A 19,222-nucleotide genomic window follows, 5' to 3' on the forward strand; every position below is an offset into this window, starting at 1 on the left:
CAAAGAAGCTGTGGATGTACAAGGTCAGTGACAACTTTGGGTCACACTGCAGCAAGTGGCAGGGTCAGAGAGAATTCCAGGTCCCTCACATGCCAAGTTCCATGGTCTGTACTTGTCACTATATGAACTCAGGGTCCAAGATGTGTGCATGAGGAGCCACATGGACTGGGGACATCTCAGGAGGACTAAGCAGCTTCCTCCAACCCGGGAGTCCTAAGGAGTGCCCGTCGCATCCCTGCCTGTATGGAGAACTCCCTTCTTTCCTTCTAATGACAATGGTCGTCCTCGAGGGAGCCTGTCTGAAAGCAATGACTCACCTGGAGTCAAACTTCCTGGAGACGCAGCCGAGCAGACCCTCCAGGGTCCCTGGTCTGTTTTGAATTTACAGACACTTTTCATTTTCCCAAGTGGAGTCAGGGCTGTTTTGCTCGGAAGCATAAACTTCGAGCCCCGCTGTTCATGGCAAAAGGAGAGTTGAGGATTGATGCCCAGCCCAGCAGAGAATGAGGACAAAGGAGTAAAACGTGAACGAACACTCAGCTAAACTAGTCCCTGCCCAGGGAGCCAGACCAGACGAAGCTGTCGATTCAGGTGCCCAGGATGCCTGGAAACACCTGGATTCTCCCGATTTTATTCAAAAGCCAAATGCGTTTGCCTACAGAGAACAAAAATAAATCTTTCTTCTGGTAAAGGAGGAAATTAGCAAGTGCCAAGTGAAAACACATTTTCTCTTTCCCTGGACTTGATTGGATGAGACCATGAACAGGCAAAAGGAGCCAACAGGCCTCCTGGCCCCAGAGCTGCATCCAGGTGGGAGCTGTTGAGGCCTCAGCTATAAAGGGAGATGGGAGGAGAGGAGGATGAGTCTCTTCCCGTGACCTTGAGAGGTCACGATGCCAGGGCTGGAGGCCATTGTGGCTCACTGTAACATTTCCAGATGTTAATGAATGTTTCAGGAGTGATTGTGAAATTCGCTAAGTGAAATTTATTTCCCTTTGCTCTGACTTTAGAAATGAATGTCCCTTGTCTCAGCAGGACTGGCCCTGCTGTGCCTTGCTGGCTGTAGTGCGAATCCACAGACTTTCCACTGAGTGATAGCTGATCTGAGCATAGTCATGCAATGTCCATCACTCATCAATCTCCTGTCTGAGAATCTGTTCTGCTGAAATGATCATAGATGCAAATAAACATTTGTGTGCAAATCCATTAATAGCATCATTACTTAAAATAAGGAACAAGTGGAAAAACCTAATAATTAGAGGAGACATTGATTGTGGCTCATTGACATGATGGATTATTGTGCAGCTGCATGAACAATGTTTTGAATAATTTTTTATCACAATAAAGAAACATTTTCCCAACAAAATACCTAGTAAAAAGAACATATGGCCAGGCATGGTGGCTCATGCCTATAATTCCAGCACTTTGGGAGGCTGAGGCTGGAGGATCCCTTGAGCCCAGGAGTTTGAGACCAACCTCAGCAACATAGGGAGAACATGTCTCTACAATTTTTAAAAAAATTATCCAGATGTTGTGGTACATGCCTATGGTTCCTGCTACTCGGGAGGCCAAGGTGGGAGGATAGCTTGAGCCTTAGAGGTCAAGGCTTCAGTGAGCTGTGATGCTCCAGCCACTGCAGTGAGCTGCTATACTCCAGCCTGAGCAACAGAGCAACCTGTTTCAAAAACAAAAAGAAGAAGAAGAAAGAAGAAGAAGGAGGAGAAGAAGAAGGAGAAGGAGGAGGAGGAGGAGGAGGAGGAAGATATACTATATGATCTATACTGAGTATTACACCTAAACACCATGTTGGTTGTCTTTGTGCGGGTTGATGAGAAGTTTGAGCTCCATCCCCAATCTTTACAGCATTTTTCAAATTTCCTTAAATGACTGTATATTGATAAATGAATCAATATACATTGATTGTCCAAAGCACAACATTGGACAATCACAATGTTTGTCCAAAGCACAATGTTGTGGAAACAGGATAGGTCATTGTTGCACAATTTTCCCTCTTGACTTCTTCTTTCTCCTGTCTTTTCTCCCGAACCCTCTGATGGGGTTGGAAACAATGTCACACATTAAAGTAATAATATTTTGGAATCAATGTTCTAACCCTTCCACCCCCAATTCTCCTAACAATTTGTGGTCAGTTTCTCTTCTCCCCACATTCTCTCTTCTCTGATTATCATTAGATGTGGGGCCTCCAGGATCTGGGCTCAGGGTGGCTGTCACTTTTCACTTTGAGTAGTCAGGTATTGGTCAAAATGCAAGCATAAGGGATGGCTTTTGGGCCCTGACCAATGATGCTGAATTTTCCAAACCGAAAGGAAGAAAAGAAAGATGACAGTGCTGTCAGCACCCAGCTGAAAGTGGTGAATCGACATTTCCTGTCTGTGTGTGTCTTTGTGAGAACCCCGTGCTCATCTGTGGTTTCCTAACTCAGGCAGATAGATTTGCTTTACGGGTAGTTTTCCCTTCAGAAAGAGTCTTCGGTGCCTTTGTGTATCCACTGCAATACTTTGCAAAACAAAATACACACACTGGGCACTTTAAACAATAAAATTGTGTTCTCCCACAGTCCTGGAGGCCATAAGTCTAAGATCAAGGTGTGGGCAGGGCTGCTTCCCTCTGAGGCCTCTCTTGTAGCTTGAAGGTGGGTGTCTCCTTCCTGTGTCCTCTATGTGTGTCTGTGTCCTAATCTCTTCTTACAAGGACACCAGCCAGATTGGATGACTGCCCACCCTACTCAGTGTGACCTTATCTTAACTAATGACCCTGCAATGAGCCTATTCCCAAATAAGGCCACATCCTCAGGTACTGGGGCTTAGAACTTCAACATAAGACTACGGAAGGTTCATAATTCAACCCATAGCACCTGAAATTTGTGTTCTGTTTCTTCAGCAAGCATTTTAGCAAATTTACTTTTGGCAGGAAAAGATTGTTATTTGGTGGGAGGCCAAGGTGGGTGGATCACTTGAGGTCAGGAGTTTGAGACCAGCCTGGCCAACATGGTGAAATTCTGTCTCTACTAAGAATACAAAAATTAGCTGGATGTGGTGGTGCATGCCTGTAATCCCAGCTACCGGGGAGGCTGAGGCAGGAGAATCATTTGAACCCAGGAGGCTGAGGTTGCAGTGAGCAAAGATCATATCATTGCACTCCAGGCTAGGCAACAGAGTGAGACCCCTTCTAAAAAAAAAGATTGTTATTTGAGTGTTTAAAAAATTAACTGGTCACTCTTTGAGGTTCTCTAAGAAGGTTGGGGAGGAGGGGTTCCTATTTTAGAATAATTGTGGTAAAAATTAAGAACTCCAAAGGAAGGTGAATGTTCACAAAGCTCATCACTATCTTGCAAATAGTTGGTGCTGAGTAACTGCCCAATGAATCATCAAGTCATGCTACTGAGAGCTCTTTATTGATGGAAATTGTTTCAGGCAGAGTCATTCTCTGGCATCAACATGACGTCATTTACATCCACATCTTTATAAATGTTCAATAACTTTACTGTCACAGGTTTGTCTTACTCATCACCTTGGATGCACAGAAAATATGCTAGACTTTGATGTATTTTACAGTACATTAGTTTGAGTGGGAACTCCTCTGAAGCAACTCAAATCTAGCTCTTACTAAATTTAAACATTCCTACAAAGGGGCTTTCACTTCTGGATGCAGACGTTTATATGGCAAATATTTATTTTGTTGCAATAGGGTTGCAAATTGTGATAACTGTGTAACGAAGACTATGCCCCCACTTCTTCAGAGGTCTGGCTTTTGTCCTGGCTTCTGCAAGGTGAACTCTAACTATTGGGGGAACCCATCCCCAATATTTCAATGTAGGTTCTTTCTATTTTCCATAAGTGTTGGCCAGTTGAGAAATAAAGAGAGAGGGTAAAAAGAGAGGAATTTTACAGCTGGGCCGCTGGGGGTGACATCACATATTGGTAGGACCATGATGCCCACCTGAGCCTCAAACCAGCACGTTTTTATTAAGGGTTTGAAAAGGGGAGGGGATGTAAGCACAGGGAGTAGGTACAAAGATCACATGCTTCAAATGGCAAAAAGCAGAACTACTGATAAGGATCCAGCAAAGATCACAAGGCAAAGGGCAAAAGCAGAACTACTGATAAGGGTCCAGCAAAGATCACAAGGCAAAGGGCAAAAGCAGAACTACTGATAAGGGTCTATGTTCAGCGGTGCACGCATTGTCTTGATAAACATCTTAAACAACAGAAAACAGGGTTTGAGAGCAGAGAACCAACTGGTCTGACCACAAATTTACCAGGGCAGAGATTTCCCCCACTCTAATAAGCCTGAGGGTACTGCAGGAGACCAGGGTGTATCAGTCCTTATCTCAACTGCATAAGACAGACATTCCCAGAGTGGCCATTTATAGACCTCCCCCGAGGAACACATTCCTTTCCCAGGGTATTAATATTTTATTATTCATTGCTAGGAAAAGAATTTAGGGATATCTCTCCTACTTGCACGTCCATTTATAGGCTCTCTGCAAGAAGAAAAATATGGCTCTTTTTGCCCGACCCCACAGGTAGTAAGATCTTATGGTTGTCTTCCCTTGCTCCCTAAAAAATGCTGTTATTCTGTTCTTTTTCAAGGTGCACTGATTTCATATTGTTCAAACACACATGTTTTACAATCAGTTTGTACAGTTAACACAATTATCACAGTGGTCCTGAGGTGACGTACATCCTCAGCTTAGGATGATAACAGGATTAAGAGATTAAAGTAAAGACAAGCATAAGAAATTATAAAAGTATTATTTGGGAACTGATAAATGTCCATGAAATCTTCACAATTTATGTTCCTGTGCTGCGGCTTCAGCGGGTCCCTCCATTCAGGGGTCCCTGACTTCCCACAACACTAATCCTTTGGAATTTCCCAAGTGATAGGAGCAGCAGTGTTGTTTATGGGGACCTCTGCTCATGGTGTGGCTCAGGGCAGGCCCCTCAAGACTTTATGTGGATGAGATGACTCAAGATGGGGGCTGGCACACCAGAAAGACCAACCATGTGATTAGAGTGTGTCTGCTTTGGGACATGGGAAATCAACTCCACTTCATGGAGGGAGGGGAGGGCTAGAGTTTAAGTTCAGCCACACGACCAGTGGTTAAGTCCACCTTGTATTATCCCATTGTCATGCTGCTAATAAAGATATACCTGAGGCTGGATAGTTCATAAAGGCAAGAGGTTTAATGGACTTACAGTTCCACATGGCTGGGGAGGCCTCACAATCATGGCAGAAGATGAAGGAGGAGCAAAGTCACATCTTACATGGCTGCAGGCAAGAGAGTGTGTGCAGGGGAACTCCCCTTTATAAAACCTTCAGATCTCCTGAGACTTATTCACTATGACGAGAACAGCAAGAAAAAGACTCACCCCCATGATCCAATTACCTCCCACCAGGTCCATCCTACAACATGTGGGAATTATGGGAGCTACAATTCAAGATGAGTTTTGGATGGGAACACAGCTAAACCATATCACACCTCAGTAAAACCATAGATGCTGACACTCAGGTAAGCCTCCTGGGTTGGCCATACTTGGCACATATTTTCACAAGTCCCTTCTGGGAGAGGAAGGAGAACATGTGACACCTCCCCATGCAGGGCTTCCCAGATGCCCCAACTCTGTGTCTCTTTCTTTGCTTGTTCTAATTTGTATCTTTTTGCTGTCATTAGAATGTAATTGTAACCATAGCATTGCCCTGAGTTTTGTGATCCACCCTCTGACATGAGGGTGCCCCTGGGGACCCCTAATCTTGCGGCTGATGTCTGAAGTGAGGGCAGCCTTGTGGGGACCGTTGCCTCAGCCTGAGAAGTTTGGCCAAACTCCTTTGCGATAATTCATTGAATTCATCTTTTTTATTTGCTCACACATTTCATTTCTTACAATTTATATTTAGGTTCATAAAATTTAAAAAAATTTAATTATAAAGCATTGAAAAGAGACATTTAATTACCATGTCAGACTGGCCTCCATTCCATATGCACTGATCCGTAGAAATATTAAACTAACGTTTATTCAAGACCTGCCTGCATCAGGGACAGTGGGAGGTGGGGGTCCATGCCAATTGGCATGAGGCATGGCCCTGACCTGGAGATTTCAGAGCATATTTCTGTCAATCTGGAACCACTGCACAGTCTATTAATATACATTATAATATATGTTATTTTGAATCATGCAATTGTTTTTATTTATACTTATGGGTTTCCAGTCTATTAATGCCATGCCCAGATGTGCGAGGAAATCCAGTTCTTCTCTCTAAGTGTGTGGCTTACCTCCCTCATTCTACCTTGCTGGGTAGCTGGTGGGGGTTTCAGGATGGGATGAGTGGGAAGGGAGGAGCAGGTGGGCTATTCAGAGAACTTCGCCAGTGATGGGTGAATTTGGGAGAAAGATCAGCTGCTTATCTTTGCGTTTGCCTAAACATGAAGGGGTTGTGCTGTTGTCCATGCTCCACTGTGTGCTGACTTTCCCTGGGGGTTTGAAGGGCCACCTTCAAGCTGGGGAGCCTGTTTTGATTGTTTATCTAAACTGCACTCCCAACTGACTTTACCAGCAGCCAAGAGCTGTATTTTGGTCTTTCTGTCTCTGACACATGCATTTTCCTCTTGAACCATTCCTTCTGAACCTGAGAAGTATGACAGGTTGAATAGTATCCCCAAAGAAGATGCATTGGAGTCCTAACCCCCCATACCCTATTTGGAAATAGAGTCTTTGTGAGTTCCCTAATCCAATATGACTGGTATCCTTATAAAAAGAGAAATTTGGACACAGACACACACACACAGGCAGTACCCCATGTGAATAGAAAGGTAGATGGGGGGTGATGCTTCTACAATCCAAGGGATGTCAAAGATCGTCAGCAAACACCAGAAGCAGGAGAGAGGTATGGGGCAGAGTCTCCCTCCCAGCCACAGAAGTAGAAGCTCTGCCAACACTCAATGTTGGGCTTCTGGACTACAGGACTGTGAGAAAATACATTTCTGTTGTTCCAGGCCACCCAATATGTGGTATTTTGTTCCAGCAGCCCTGGGAAACTAATGCAGGAAGGTAAAGAAAGGTGAATTATGTTGCTCTGTAAAAACCTCAGTAGTCTCTTTACCTAAGTTTTGGGTCTGATTTTGATAAAGAATTGAGGCTTCCATGGTGTCCATGCTGGGCAGAGTCATGGACCTTCTCACCAACTCTTCTCCCCCTCAATACCCTAGAGCAGAAAGGCCACTGGACACACCAACTGCCCTACACTTAACAGGCAGCAGGAGAGTCCCCTTCACTGGGGAAGATGCTCAGTGTGACCTTTGGGCTTGGTCCTGCTGTGTTCTACAAGATAAGACAACTTAGAAAGTCCCATTCTCAGGGCAACATCTAGGTTTCACTTGCCTTGTTTTGCTGAATAGTTCTAATAAACTCAGTTCCAAGACAAAGTGTTGATGCATGGGCTCTTTATTCCCAGAGCCTGGGTTCCTCAAGGCAAGAAGTCTCGTGGCTCAGCCTTGGAGGTAGAAGGCTGCAGAACAGGATGTCATAGGAGATGCAAGCGCTTGCTAGATGTTTGCATGTATGGGTAAACATCTGAGCACCCTCTTGGCAGCCAACTGCACCAGGACGATGCACAGCAGCCCACCCGCACATCTCCACTTTGTGTATTTGTGCTTTGAGAAGTATGTACATTAGGATACTTTTGAATGTGTATTAGTCTGTTCTCACACTGCTATAAAGAAATACCTGAGATGGGGCAATTTATAAAGAAAAGAGGTTTAGTTGGCTCACCATTCCACAGGCTGTGCAGGAAGTATGGCTGGGGAGGCCTCAGGAAACTTACAATCATGGCAGAAGGCAAAGGGGATACAGACACGTCTTCACATGGCCAGAGCAGGAGGAAGAGAGAGAGGGGAAAGGTGTGACACACGTTTAAAGAACAAGATCTCATGATAACTCACTCACTGTCATGAGAACAACACCAAAGAAGAAGTCTGCACCCATGATCCAATCACTTCTCACCAGGACCCACCTCTAACATGGGGGATTACAATTTGACATGAGATTTGGGCAGGGACACAGACCCAAACTTTATCAGACTGCAAATAAACGAAGCCCTGAATAAAAAGCGTCAACATAAGATGTTTGTTAACTCACAAATGAGAAGACTAGGGGCAGAGTGGTTCTATGGAGTCTGCAGTTTCAGTGTCATGATGGCATTATCGAAGGCCTGGAAGATTCCTGTGTTTTGCTCTTCCATCAGCGACACCCAAGCATGTCACCCTCCAGGGTGAAGCATGTCTGCTGTAATTTCAGGCTTCACAGGCAGACCTAGGTCCCCCGTGGCTCATATTTAGTTTTATTTTTCAAACTAGGGAGGAAAATGCATCCCCTGTGCCCACACCACAGCAAGTGTTCCTCAACTCCACTGGCCATAGTGGATCACCCTTTGTTGCTTAGACTGGCCCTTGGCCAGGGGAAGGACTAGTTCAGACCAATCACATTTTAGTCCCAGGGGAGATAAAGTTTCCATCTACCCAGTCACGTGGCTGCAGAGACTCTGCTGCATGAGGAAGCAGAATGGCCCTTTTTGGGATTGGAGCTGCAGTGTCTGCAAAGAAGAAGTCATGGTGACATGTCTTGGCCAGGACACAGGACAGAAATAGGTGAACAGGCAGGTGTAGCAAAAGCATTCAGAGTAGAGTCTGTTTTAGGATTTAGATCGAAGATCATGATCTGGGCCTTTAAAGGTCTGATGTGGCTTGGCTGTGTCCCCACTCAAATCTCATCTTAAATTGTAACTCCCACAATTCCCACTTGTCATGGGAGGAACCTGCTGGGAGGTGATTGAACTATGTGGTCAGGTATTTCCTGTGCTGTTCTCTTGATAGTGAATGAGTCTCATGATATCTGAAGGTTTTAAAGGTGGGAGTTTCCCTGCACAAGCTCTCTCTCTTTGCCTGCCACCATCCATGTAAGATGCAACTTGCTCCTCCTTGCCTTCCACCATGATTGTGAGGCCTCCCCAGCCATGTGGAAATGTAAATCTATTAAACCACTTTTTCTTCCCTGTCTAAGGTACATCTTTATCAGCAGCATGAAAACAACAGACTAATGTAAGGTCCAACAGCCTTTTCAGAAAGCACGCACAGTAATAGGGTTTTTGTTACTTGCCACCCAAAGAATCCTACTCTCCACAATGCATTGTTGGAAGGATACTGGAGTCCAAAAAAGAGTGCAGAGCTTTTCCAAGAAAGCAGAGCTTTGGGGACTGGAAACAGGTTTTAATCACTGTCAAAATTCTCTCTTGTTCTCATTCATTGCTGCTTCTTGACTTGGTTCTCTCTGACAGGACATAAGCATCTCTATGGTCCAAGGAACAGAATCAGAAGCAGCCTCTGAATTCCATGGCTTCAGTTCCTTGGCACAAGATACAGGAATGTCTCAGTACCACTCTGTGCCACAGACTTGGTGGCTTACACAACAGAAATTTATTCTCTCCTGGTTCTGGAGAGCAGAAGTCTGAGGTCAAGGTGATGACAGGGTCTGTTCCTTCTGAGGCTGTGATGAAGAGTCTGTTCCAGGCTCCTTTCCCAGCTGCTGGTTGTTTGTGGGCACTCTTTGTTATTCTTTGGCTTGTAGAGGCATCACCCTGATCTCTATTTTATCTTCAAATGGTGTTCTCCCTGTGTGTCTTTGTGTGTGTGTATACGTCCAAATGTCTTCTTTTTATAATGACAGGAGTCACATCCAAATGTCTTCTTTTTATAATGACAGCAGTCACATTGAGTTAGGGGTATACCTACTCTAGTGTGACTCCATCCTAACTTAACTACAATAATTTCATCTGCAAAGACCCTTTTTCCAAAGAAAATCACATTCTGAGGTTCCTGGAGTTAAAAATTGTACATATAAATTTTGGGGGACACAGTTCAACCTGTAACATGCTCCAATAGAAAAAATCCCAGGAGAACTCTAACTGACGTTGTGTGCTCACCCACATCGCCAGGGAACCACGGTCTTTAACCTGGAGTTGGAAGGGAACAGTGTTAGAGAAAATAAACCACTGAGCAATCAGGGGGCACCTGGAGGCCATGGTCCTAGGAAGAGAAACCCTTTCCAACTCCGAAAGAAGACAGAATTTCATGGAGATCACCACCCTGGACCTATCTATGACTGTTCTCCAGAGGCCCACACCAAAGCCCTCCAAGCTTTGTTCCTTAGGCGACACTAGGGCTCTGGGTGGGGTTGCTCACCCCTCATCACATGCCATCTGTCTGTTCTCATGCTGAATGAGGATGGGATGGCATATCATCCTGGTGGAGATGAGAGTGATGACCCCACCAAGGACTCAGCTGGCGACTTCCTGATATGAAGGTAGAGAGGCCCAGTACCCAGTTCCTCTGGCTTGTCCTTCTACCCCAGGGAGGGTGTGGGGTCTGCCACTGCCAGGGGATGAGTGATGGGTGGGGCAGATGCTCTTCTACGTTGGTCTCTGGAGCAGCTGCACCCAAATTGCTCTTCAAAAATACAGATGTTTGGCTCTTATCTGAAAAGGGTCTGAGTCCGGACCCAGGGCCCAGGGATTGCTAAGTTTTGGAATCTCCCCTGAGGAGCTTGACACTTGACCATGCCTGGAAAATGCTGATGTCCTGGAGCAGCATGAGTGGTGGGGTCAGGGGGCCCAGAGGACAACGTCCCTGCCTCTTCTTGGCTTCCTGACCCTGGACAAGGAATGGCAGCAATGCTGGCCGCTGATCTCCTATGGCTTCTGCTGCTTGTTAATTTCTTCCTATGTCTCAAGTGCTTGACCTTCCCCAATCCATGCCGTGAAGAAGGTGCTGTTGACAGGCAGGATAGCAGTGACGGAGGGTGTGGCCTGGACCTTGCTGGCTCAGCAGGTGACCTTGGGCAGTTTCCCTTGACTTCTTTGTGCTTCAGTTTTCTCATCTGTACAGTGGGGATCAAAATAATAGCATTGGAAATATCACCAGGTTATTTGCAAGAATTAAATACGTATGTATTTCACCTAGGATGGGGCCTGGGTTCATTTTTGCTATTTTGTGTTAATGTATTTGTTTTGTGTGTGTGCTCTTGTGCATGCCTGTGCCTGTATGTGCACATGTGTGCATGCATGCATGTGAGCATATGTACCTTTCATGTGCCAAGCACTGTTCTGGTGCAAAGATGCAGTCATGAACAAGAGACAAAAATTGCTGCTTTCAAGGAGTTTATATTCTTTTGGGGGAGACAGAAGATGAGCAACATGGAAAAAGAAACTATACAATGTTTTCCATGTTATGAATGCTGTGGGAAGATATGGACCCTGGCGGAGGGTGGGGCTGGGGACGGGGCTGCAGTTCACTCTGGTTTGGTTAGGAAGTGGAATGGGGGAGGTGGGCGTGGAGGGGAGAAGTGGGAGGTGAACATCAGTCAGGGCAGGACATGTTATGCTGCTGTAACACCACCACCCAAAACCCAGGCCCTCCTGCCCTGAAGACTTATTTCTTCTCCATTCTATGTGTTCATCCATGTCAGTGTGGCTCTGGGCTGTGTCATCTTTCGTCTAGAACCAGAATGATGAAGTTACCTTTCTCCAGAACATTTCTGAAATCATGGTAATGAGAACAAAAACTGCACCATGTGCTGGCTCTTAAAGCTCCTCTGCAGCTGGGAAACAGGTTGCTGCTGCTCACGTGTCATTGGGTGGACTGGACCCGAACTAACTAACTTGACATCAAATGGGTCAGGGAAGCCTCCTCCTCCCCTGAGGAGGGCCTCTGCTGTGTGAACAATGATGCAGCCCACCAGCAAAGACTGAGGAGGGATCTGAGAAGGTGAAGGCTGGAGCCACTTTGCAATTGTGGGAACTGAGGCACACTGAGCTTGGTGACTCACCAAGGGTCACTTGGCTGTGAGTGTTGCTGGCAGAGCCTTGGTTACAGCCAAGATCAGTCCTCCATGTTCAGAGCAGGACCATTAGCGCCTACGTCCCCTGAAACTTCTGAGCATCTGAGACTATTTGAATGTGCCCCCTTTGAATCTCATGCTGAAATGTGATTCTCGATGTTGGAGGTGGGGCTTGCTGGGAGGTGACTGGATCATGAGGGTGAATCTGTCATGAATGGATTAGCACCATCCTCTTGATGATGAGTGAGTTTTTGCTCAGTTAGCTCACTTGAGATCTGGTTGTTTAAAAGTCTGGGACCTCCCCTATCTTGCCCACCTCCAATTCTCTTCCTGCTTTTCTCTCCATGCAACACATCTGCTCGCCCTTCACCTTCTGCCATGATTGACAGATTCCTGAGGCCTCACCAGGAGCAGATGCCAGCACCATGCTTCCCATACAGCCTGAGAACCATGAGCGAATTCAACTCCTTTTCTTTATAAATTACTGAGTCTCAGGTATTCCTTTATAGTGATGCAAAAACTGCCTAAAACAGTGTCCTTGGTCTATAAAATGGGCTAGCTGTGATGACCGGGCAGGGCCGTGGAGAAGATGGAGGTTCACTGCACACAGTGGCACCTGCTTAGGGATGCTATATTTTTATATCGTCTTGGCTGGGGATTTCCTCCTTGATTTTCTAGTGAGTTCTCTTCAAAGTGGCCCTTGTCACAGAACTCTAGGCTATGGATTGGCATCGTCATTCTCCCAGTTGGCACTGCCTGCTGTCCAGCCCCTGCAGGCCACATGGAAGCCGCCTTTCTCTCCACACCAGCCAGTCCTTTCCAGCACAGCTCCGAACTCAGTGCGATTGGCAAGGCGAGCTGGCTGACTGACTTTTGGGATAGGGCCACACCAAGCCTACGCCCAGCAATGCCTACACAGGTCTGGCAGGCTGGCTCTGTGGCTCCAGGCATGTGGGCAGGATGGAGCAGGCGGGACAGGGGTTGTCTTTTCTTAATCACCTCCCCTGGTGCAGCCGGCCATGCTGGACTGTGGTGACCCCAGAGCCTGGCTCCCTGGTTGGTCTCCCTTTCTCCTGTGCCCTCCCCGCTACTCCACAATCAAAACTTGCCTAAGAAACGTTCCCTCCGAAACATTCCCACCTAAGTCAGTTTTCTCAGCTGTCTCCTCTAACCAGCTGTGCGGTCAACTAGAGTCCAGGGCTCCCTGCAGGTTAATTGAGAGCGATTCGTCGGCCTCCCTGCCTCCTTCTCTTGCCAGAGTGCATCTCTGCAGGGGACTTAACACCTTATTCTAGAACTATGAAAGGTGGGGTCTATAATGAGTAAAAGGAGGACCATAAGAGGTGTCTTTTGCTGGGTTCTACCCTCAGCTCTTCGCTTGGATTGTCTCCTTTAACCATTCTGCAAGGTAGGACCTATTGCCCCCATTTCAAAAAGGAGGAAGCAAATCCCCAAAGACTGTGTCACCTGCCCAAGGAGTGGGACTGAAGTGGCCTGGATTCAGCCTCAGCCACACCTCTCTGGGATGCTATGTCCCTAACAACTGTGCTGGGATTCCTAAAACGGGGCTTTCTAAGTGACTTAGGTCATATTGACAACTTGCCAAGACCCCAGGCTTTTTCTTATCTCACAAAACAAAATTATTTTGCTCCTCCCAACCATTGACTCTGCTGTCACTTGTCCTTCCCCCACCCACATTTGTGGAATCTTTAAGAATCCCTCCATCTTGGGCACAGGCCCAGGGGTTCCCAGAGGTTGCAGTGAGCGGAGACAGTGTCCTGCCCTGGTGACTCAGTCCATGCATCTATCTTCTTAACCTCTCAGCCTGTGGGCTTTCCACCCTGGTTGCCCTCTGGCTGATATCAAGGGTGCTGGTGACTGAAAATGGACAGTTCTCCCCTTGATCTCTTCCTGGGAAGACGCACTGAGCCACTGGTATATCCTCACTCTCTCTAACCATTCTTTCCTGTGTCCACTGCAAAGAAGTCCAAAGCCCTTTTGGAGCCGAGATCCTAGGCCCACATCAGGGACTGGCAGCTGCACCCAATCCCTCAAGAGCCTCCCAGTTTTGCCCCCTGCCTGCCCTGCTAGCACTTACGTGGACTTCAGCCCACAGGGCCTACACTTCCCAGCTTGCTGATTGGCTATGTCAGAGCAGAGGGCCAATGCATGTGCCCCACCATGACCTTTGCACTGGACTGATGACTGGTCAGTCATGCTGTGTAGCCAACCCCATCTGTTGGGCTGCAGTGGACAGTCCCTCATCTCTGTGCCATTGGTGTCGTGAGTGCTGACACTCTGTGGAAAGTCTTGATCCTAGAAATGGCCCAAGATTGGGAACAAAGTGATATGGTTTGGCTGTGTCCCCACCCAAATCTCATCTTGAAGAGTAGTTCCCATATTCCCCACATGTTGTGGGAGGGACCCAGTGGGAAGTAATTGAATCATGGGTGTGGTTACCCTCATGCTGTTCTCGTGATAATGAGTTCTCATGAGATTAAGGAGCTTCCCCCACTCTTCGCTCTGCACTTCTCCTTCTTGCTGCCATGTGAAGAAGGATGTGTTTGCTTCCCCTCCACCATGATTGTAAGTTTCCTGAGGCCTCCCCAGCCATGCTGAATTGTGAGTCAATTAAGCCTCTTTCCTTTATAAATTACCCAGTCTTCGGTATGTCTTTATTAGCCATGTGAGAATGGTCTAATACACAAAGTAAGGATGTCCCAACTCACTACTCCTGTCAACATCATACTGGAAGTCCTAGCTAATACAATCAGAAAAAGAAAGGCAATAAAAGGTATACAGATTATGAAGAAAGAAATAAAATTGTCTTTGCTCACAGGTGACATTATCACTTAAATAGAAAATATGAAAGAATCTGAAAAAACGAAAAAAAACAAAAACCCTCCTGGAACTAATTAGTGATCATAGCAAGGTTGCAGTATACAAGGTTAATATACAGAAGTCAATTGGTTTTCTATGTACCAGCAATGAACAAATGGAATTTGAAATAAAAAACACATTACTATTTACTTTGGCACCCTCTAAAATGAATTATTTAGGTGTAAATCTAAAAAAAATTGTACAAGACCCAAATGAGGAAAGCTACTAAACTCTGGTGAAAGTTATTAAAAAAAAACTAAATAAATCTTGCCCGTGCATAGATAGAAAGACTCCATATCATCAAGACATCAGTTCTTTCTACCTTGATCCATAGAGTCAATGCAATCCCAATCAAAAGCCCACAAGTTATTTTGTAGATATCAGCAAACTGATTCCAAAGTTTATATGGAGAGGAAAAAGACCCAGAATAGCCACCCCAATATTAAAGGAGAAAAACAAAGTCAGAGAACTGAAATTACCTGACTTCAAGATTTACTGTGAAGCTGAAATAATCAAGATAGTGTGGTCCTAGTGAAAGAATAGACAAATAGATCACTAGAACAGAAAAGAAAGCTGAGAAACCATCCCACATAAATATAGTCAAGTGATCTTTGACAAAGGAGCAAAGTTAAAATGACCAAGCAAAGATATAATCTTTTCAACAAATGATACAGGAATAATTGGAAATCTATGTGCAAAATAATGAAACTAGAAACAGACTGTACACACTTCACAAAAATTAACTCAAAATGAACTATAGTCCCAAATATAGAATGCAAAACTATAAAACTCTTGGAAGATAATATAGGAGAAAATCTAAATGATCTTGGATATGGTGATGACTTTTGAAATACACCAAATGCATAATCCATGAAAAAATAATTGATAAGGTAGACTTTATTAAAATTAAAAACTGTGCCTATAAAGACATGTCAGGAGAATGAGAAGACAAGCCACAGACTGGGATAAAATATTTGCAAAAGACACGTCTGATAAAAGATGTTTATCCAAAATGTGCAAAGAACTCTTAATACTCAACAATAAGAAAATGAGAAAATGAACAACACCTTATGTAAAAAAAAAAAAAAAGCCAAAGACCTTAACAGATACTTCACCACAGAAGGTATACAGAAGGCAAGTAAGCATATGCAAAGATGTCCAACATCATATGTCATTAAGAAATTGCAAAATAGTAGACACCACTACACACTTATTAGAATAGCCAAAATCCAAAGCACTGACATCACCACATGCTGATGAGGCTGTGGAGCAACAGGAATGCTCACTCATGGCTGGCAGGAATGCGAAATGATGCAGCCACTTGGGAAGGCAGTTTGGCAGTTTCTTACAAAACTAAACATTCTTACCATATGATCCAGTAATCACACTTCTTGGTATTTATCCAAGGGAGTTTAAAACATGTTCACACAAAAACTTGTGCACAGATGTATATGATAGCTTTATTCATAATTTCCAAAACTTGGAAGCAACCAAGATGTCCTTCAGTAGGTGAGTGAATGAAAATATCTGTAGCATATCCAGACAATGGAATATTATTGAGTGCTAAAAAGAAATAAGCTATTAAGCCATACAAAGACATGGAAGAATAGCCTTAAGTACATATTACTAAGTGAAATAAACCAATCTGGAAAGGTTGTGTGATTTGAACTATACAACATTCTGAAAGAGACAAAACGATGGAGATCAGTGGTGGCTAGGGGTTTTGGGAAGGAAGAGACAAATAGATAGAACACCAGTCTGGAGGATTTTTAGGGCAGTGAGACTTCCCTGGATGATACCAAAATGGTGGACATGTGTCATTCTGCACTTGTCCAAATCCACAGAATGACCAGCACCAAGAGCAAACCCTGGACTCTGGATGATAGTGGCATGTCAATGCATGCCAATTAATTTCAGTAAGTATACCACTCTGGTAGATGATGCTGATCATGGGGGAGGCTGTGCAAATGTGGGTATGGAGGGTACTTGGAAAATCTCTGTACCTTCTGCTCAGTTTCGCTGTGAACTTAAAATTGCTCTAAAAATAAACTTTGTAGTTAAAAATAGGACTTTTTGGAGTGATGGAAATATTCTATATCTTGATGGTGACGGTGTATGCATTTGTCAAAACTCTTCAAAATGGGGAGGTTCATTTAATATAAGTTATATTTCAAAAAGGCTGCTTTGAGAAAATTAGAATTGTCCCTCAAATCTGCTTCCCTGCAAAGGCAGCATTTTTACGTGCACTGTGTTTTATGATTTTGACTTGGCTAATCATAGAAAAGGATGAGGTTTCTACAGTTGATGTGGCAGCTCTGAGCTTGGGGTCTGTGTACTAACTGCATCATCAACAGGATCGGAAGCTCCAGGGGCCCACCAGAGTCATCATGGGCGTGGGATTAATGTGTGTGATCAGCATCTGCCCAGACGCGGCCCATGTGCCAAGGGGAGAGTGAAGGAACAGCGGGCACCAATTGAAAGGCTGGGGAACAGGGGCCTGGCAGAGTTTCACCCTCTGGCCAGTTCAGGGCAATTCAATTGAGTTCAATTCAGCATAGGTTTGCTGAGGCCAGCTATGCAGACCCTGCTGCCAGAGCCGGCGAGGGAAGCAGAGAGGATGAGAACATCCTCCTTAAGCGGGTGGTCTGGGAGGCAGACATATACTGGGAACAATGGTTTGTAGCTGGGGGGTCCCCTTTCATGATCTGTGTTTTGGAGTGTGGGGCAGAGGAGCTAGGGATCTCTAACTGGGGGAACTGAGGGCAGTTCCCTGCCACGGCGTCTTTATCTGGGTCTTGGTGTTGGGCAGGTTTCCACAGGTGACAGTACAAGAATGGCAAACCAGGAGGTGGAAAACTCGGAGTAAGGGATGTGCTATGTGTGAGCATACCTTGTGTGAACAAGGTAAGAAAAAACAGCAGAAAGAACCAGAAAATGGACCAGCATCTTGGGGCTGACACCAAGGTGTCCCCAGGGGAGCGGGAAAACCCCCTCCCAGCCTTCCTCCCTATCACGTGGTGTGTCACCTGCTCTGCTGGTTTTTTGGTCTGAATGTCTGTGTCCCTTCGAATTTTGAAGTCCAAACACACAAGGTGGTAGCATTAGTGGGTGGAGCCTTTGGGAAGTAAGGAGGTTATGGGAGTGGAGCTGCCATGGTGGGATTAGTTACTTATGAAAGAAGCCCAGAGAGCTTCCTCACCCCTTATACCACGTGGAGACTTAGTGAGAAGGCACTGTCTATGAACCACGAAGAGAGTCCTCATCAGGAACTAAATGAGTCAGACCCTTGATCTTGGACTTGCCAGCTTCCAGAACCATGAGCAATACATTTCTATTGTTTATAAACCACTCAGTTTATGGTATTTTGTTATAGCAGCCTGAACAGAAGAAGACAGGGGCAAAAACTCTCTTCAGTGTGTGGAGCTGACCCTCCAGCTACAGAGAAAAGAGTGGGTCCCAGACTCACTGAGCACCCCTGAGGGGCAGTAGGCTGGGGCCCTACCTATGCTGCTTTATGCCAAGAGTGTACTTGAGACTACAGGGATGCACGAGGCTGTCTGATGCTGTGAACGGCAAAGTTGAGCTTTGTCTCATGAAGACCACCGGGCTGTGGGATGTGAATGTCCCGGAGCTAGGGAGTTCTTGCACCAGAGAAGGCTGGAAGTCAGTAGAATGGAGCCAGGTGGTGACACAGTAATAAAGGAAGGGGACAGATGCACGGAGCACTTCAGAGGTTGAGTGTATCATTCTTCAGCGCAAGTTGGACAGGAGCCATGAAGGGAGGGTAGCATGGATCTTTCTAGGACTCTCAGCCTGGGTGACTTGGAGAATAATTAACAATAATAACTACATGTGACTATTACTGAGTGCCTATGTGTGCCAAAGTAGTTGTACAGAATGCTTAGATAAAGAATTCTAATTTTAATCTTCGCAAATCCTCTAGGTGGGGAAGGCTGACAAAACAGTCTCAGGGAGGGTAGGTGTCCCGCCCAAATATCCAGGTGGGACTAGAATTCAGAGCCTCCACTCATGTTTGTCCACTCCTGTCACTCAGCAGGGGTGATGTTCCAGGCTTGAATCTGGGTGCAGAGATTCTGGGTTTCAGATCCAAGCTGGCAGTCCCGAGAATGACCCAGCAGGTGGCTTGAGAGGAGTGTGGAGCTCAGGAGGCAGCAGGTGCAGCAGAAAGGGGACTGGAGGACCATGAATGTGTCCCAGTGGAGAACATGGCAGAGGCAAGGGAGGAGGCGGTGAAGGGACCTTGGAGGAGCTGTGCAAACACAGACTGCTACCTGGTCCCCTCTGCTACCTTCCTGACCTCCCCTCCCCTCTTTTTCAAACCATTTTGTCTCTCCTTTCTCTCCATTTCAAGCTACTAATTTCCTTAAATAAACTGTAGCTTAGACATAACATTTCACCAGTGAAAATTAAGC

General features: G+C 45.6%; 1 annotated feature.

The window, feature by feature from the left end:
• Positions 2,694-3,893: an enhancer, noted in NCBI's record as "P300/CBP strongly-dependent group 1 enhancer chr1:4440066-4441265 (GRCh37/hg19 assembly coordinates)". NCBI's record gives its function as "activates an origin of replication core promoter dependent on BRD2, BRD4, P300/CBP, MED14 and CDK7 cofactors, with strong dependence on P300/CBP, by STARR-seq in HCT116 cells {active_cell/tissue: HCT116}" and the evidence as "EXISTENCE:reporter gene assay evidence [ECO:0000049][PMID:35650434]".

The sequence above is a fragment of the Homo sapiens genome, chromosome 1 (genome assembly GCF_000001405.40).
Source record: "Homo sapiens chromosome 1, GRCh38.p14 Primary Assembly".
NCBI lineage: Eukaryota > Metazoa > Chordata > Mammalia > Primates > Hominidae > Homo > Homo sapiens.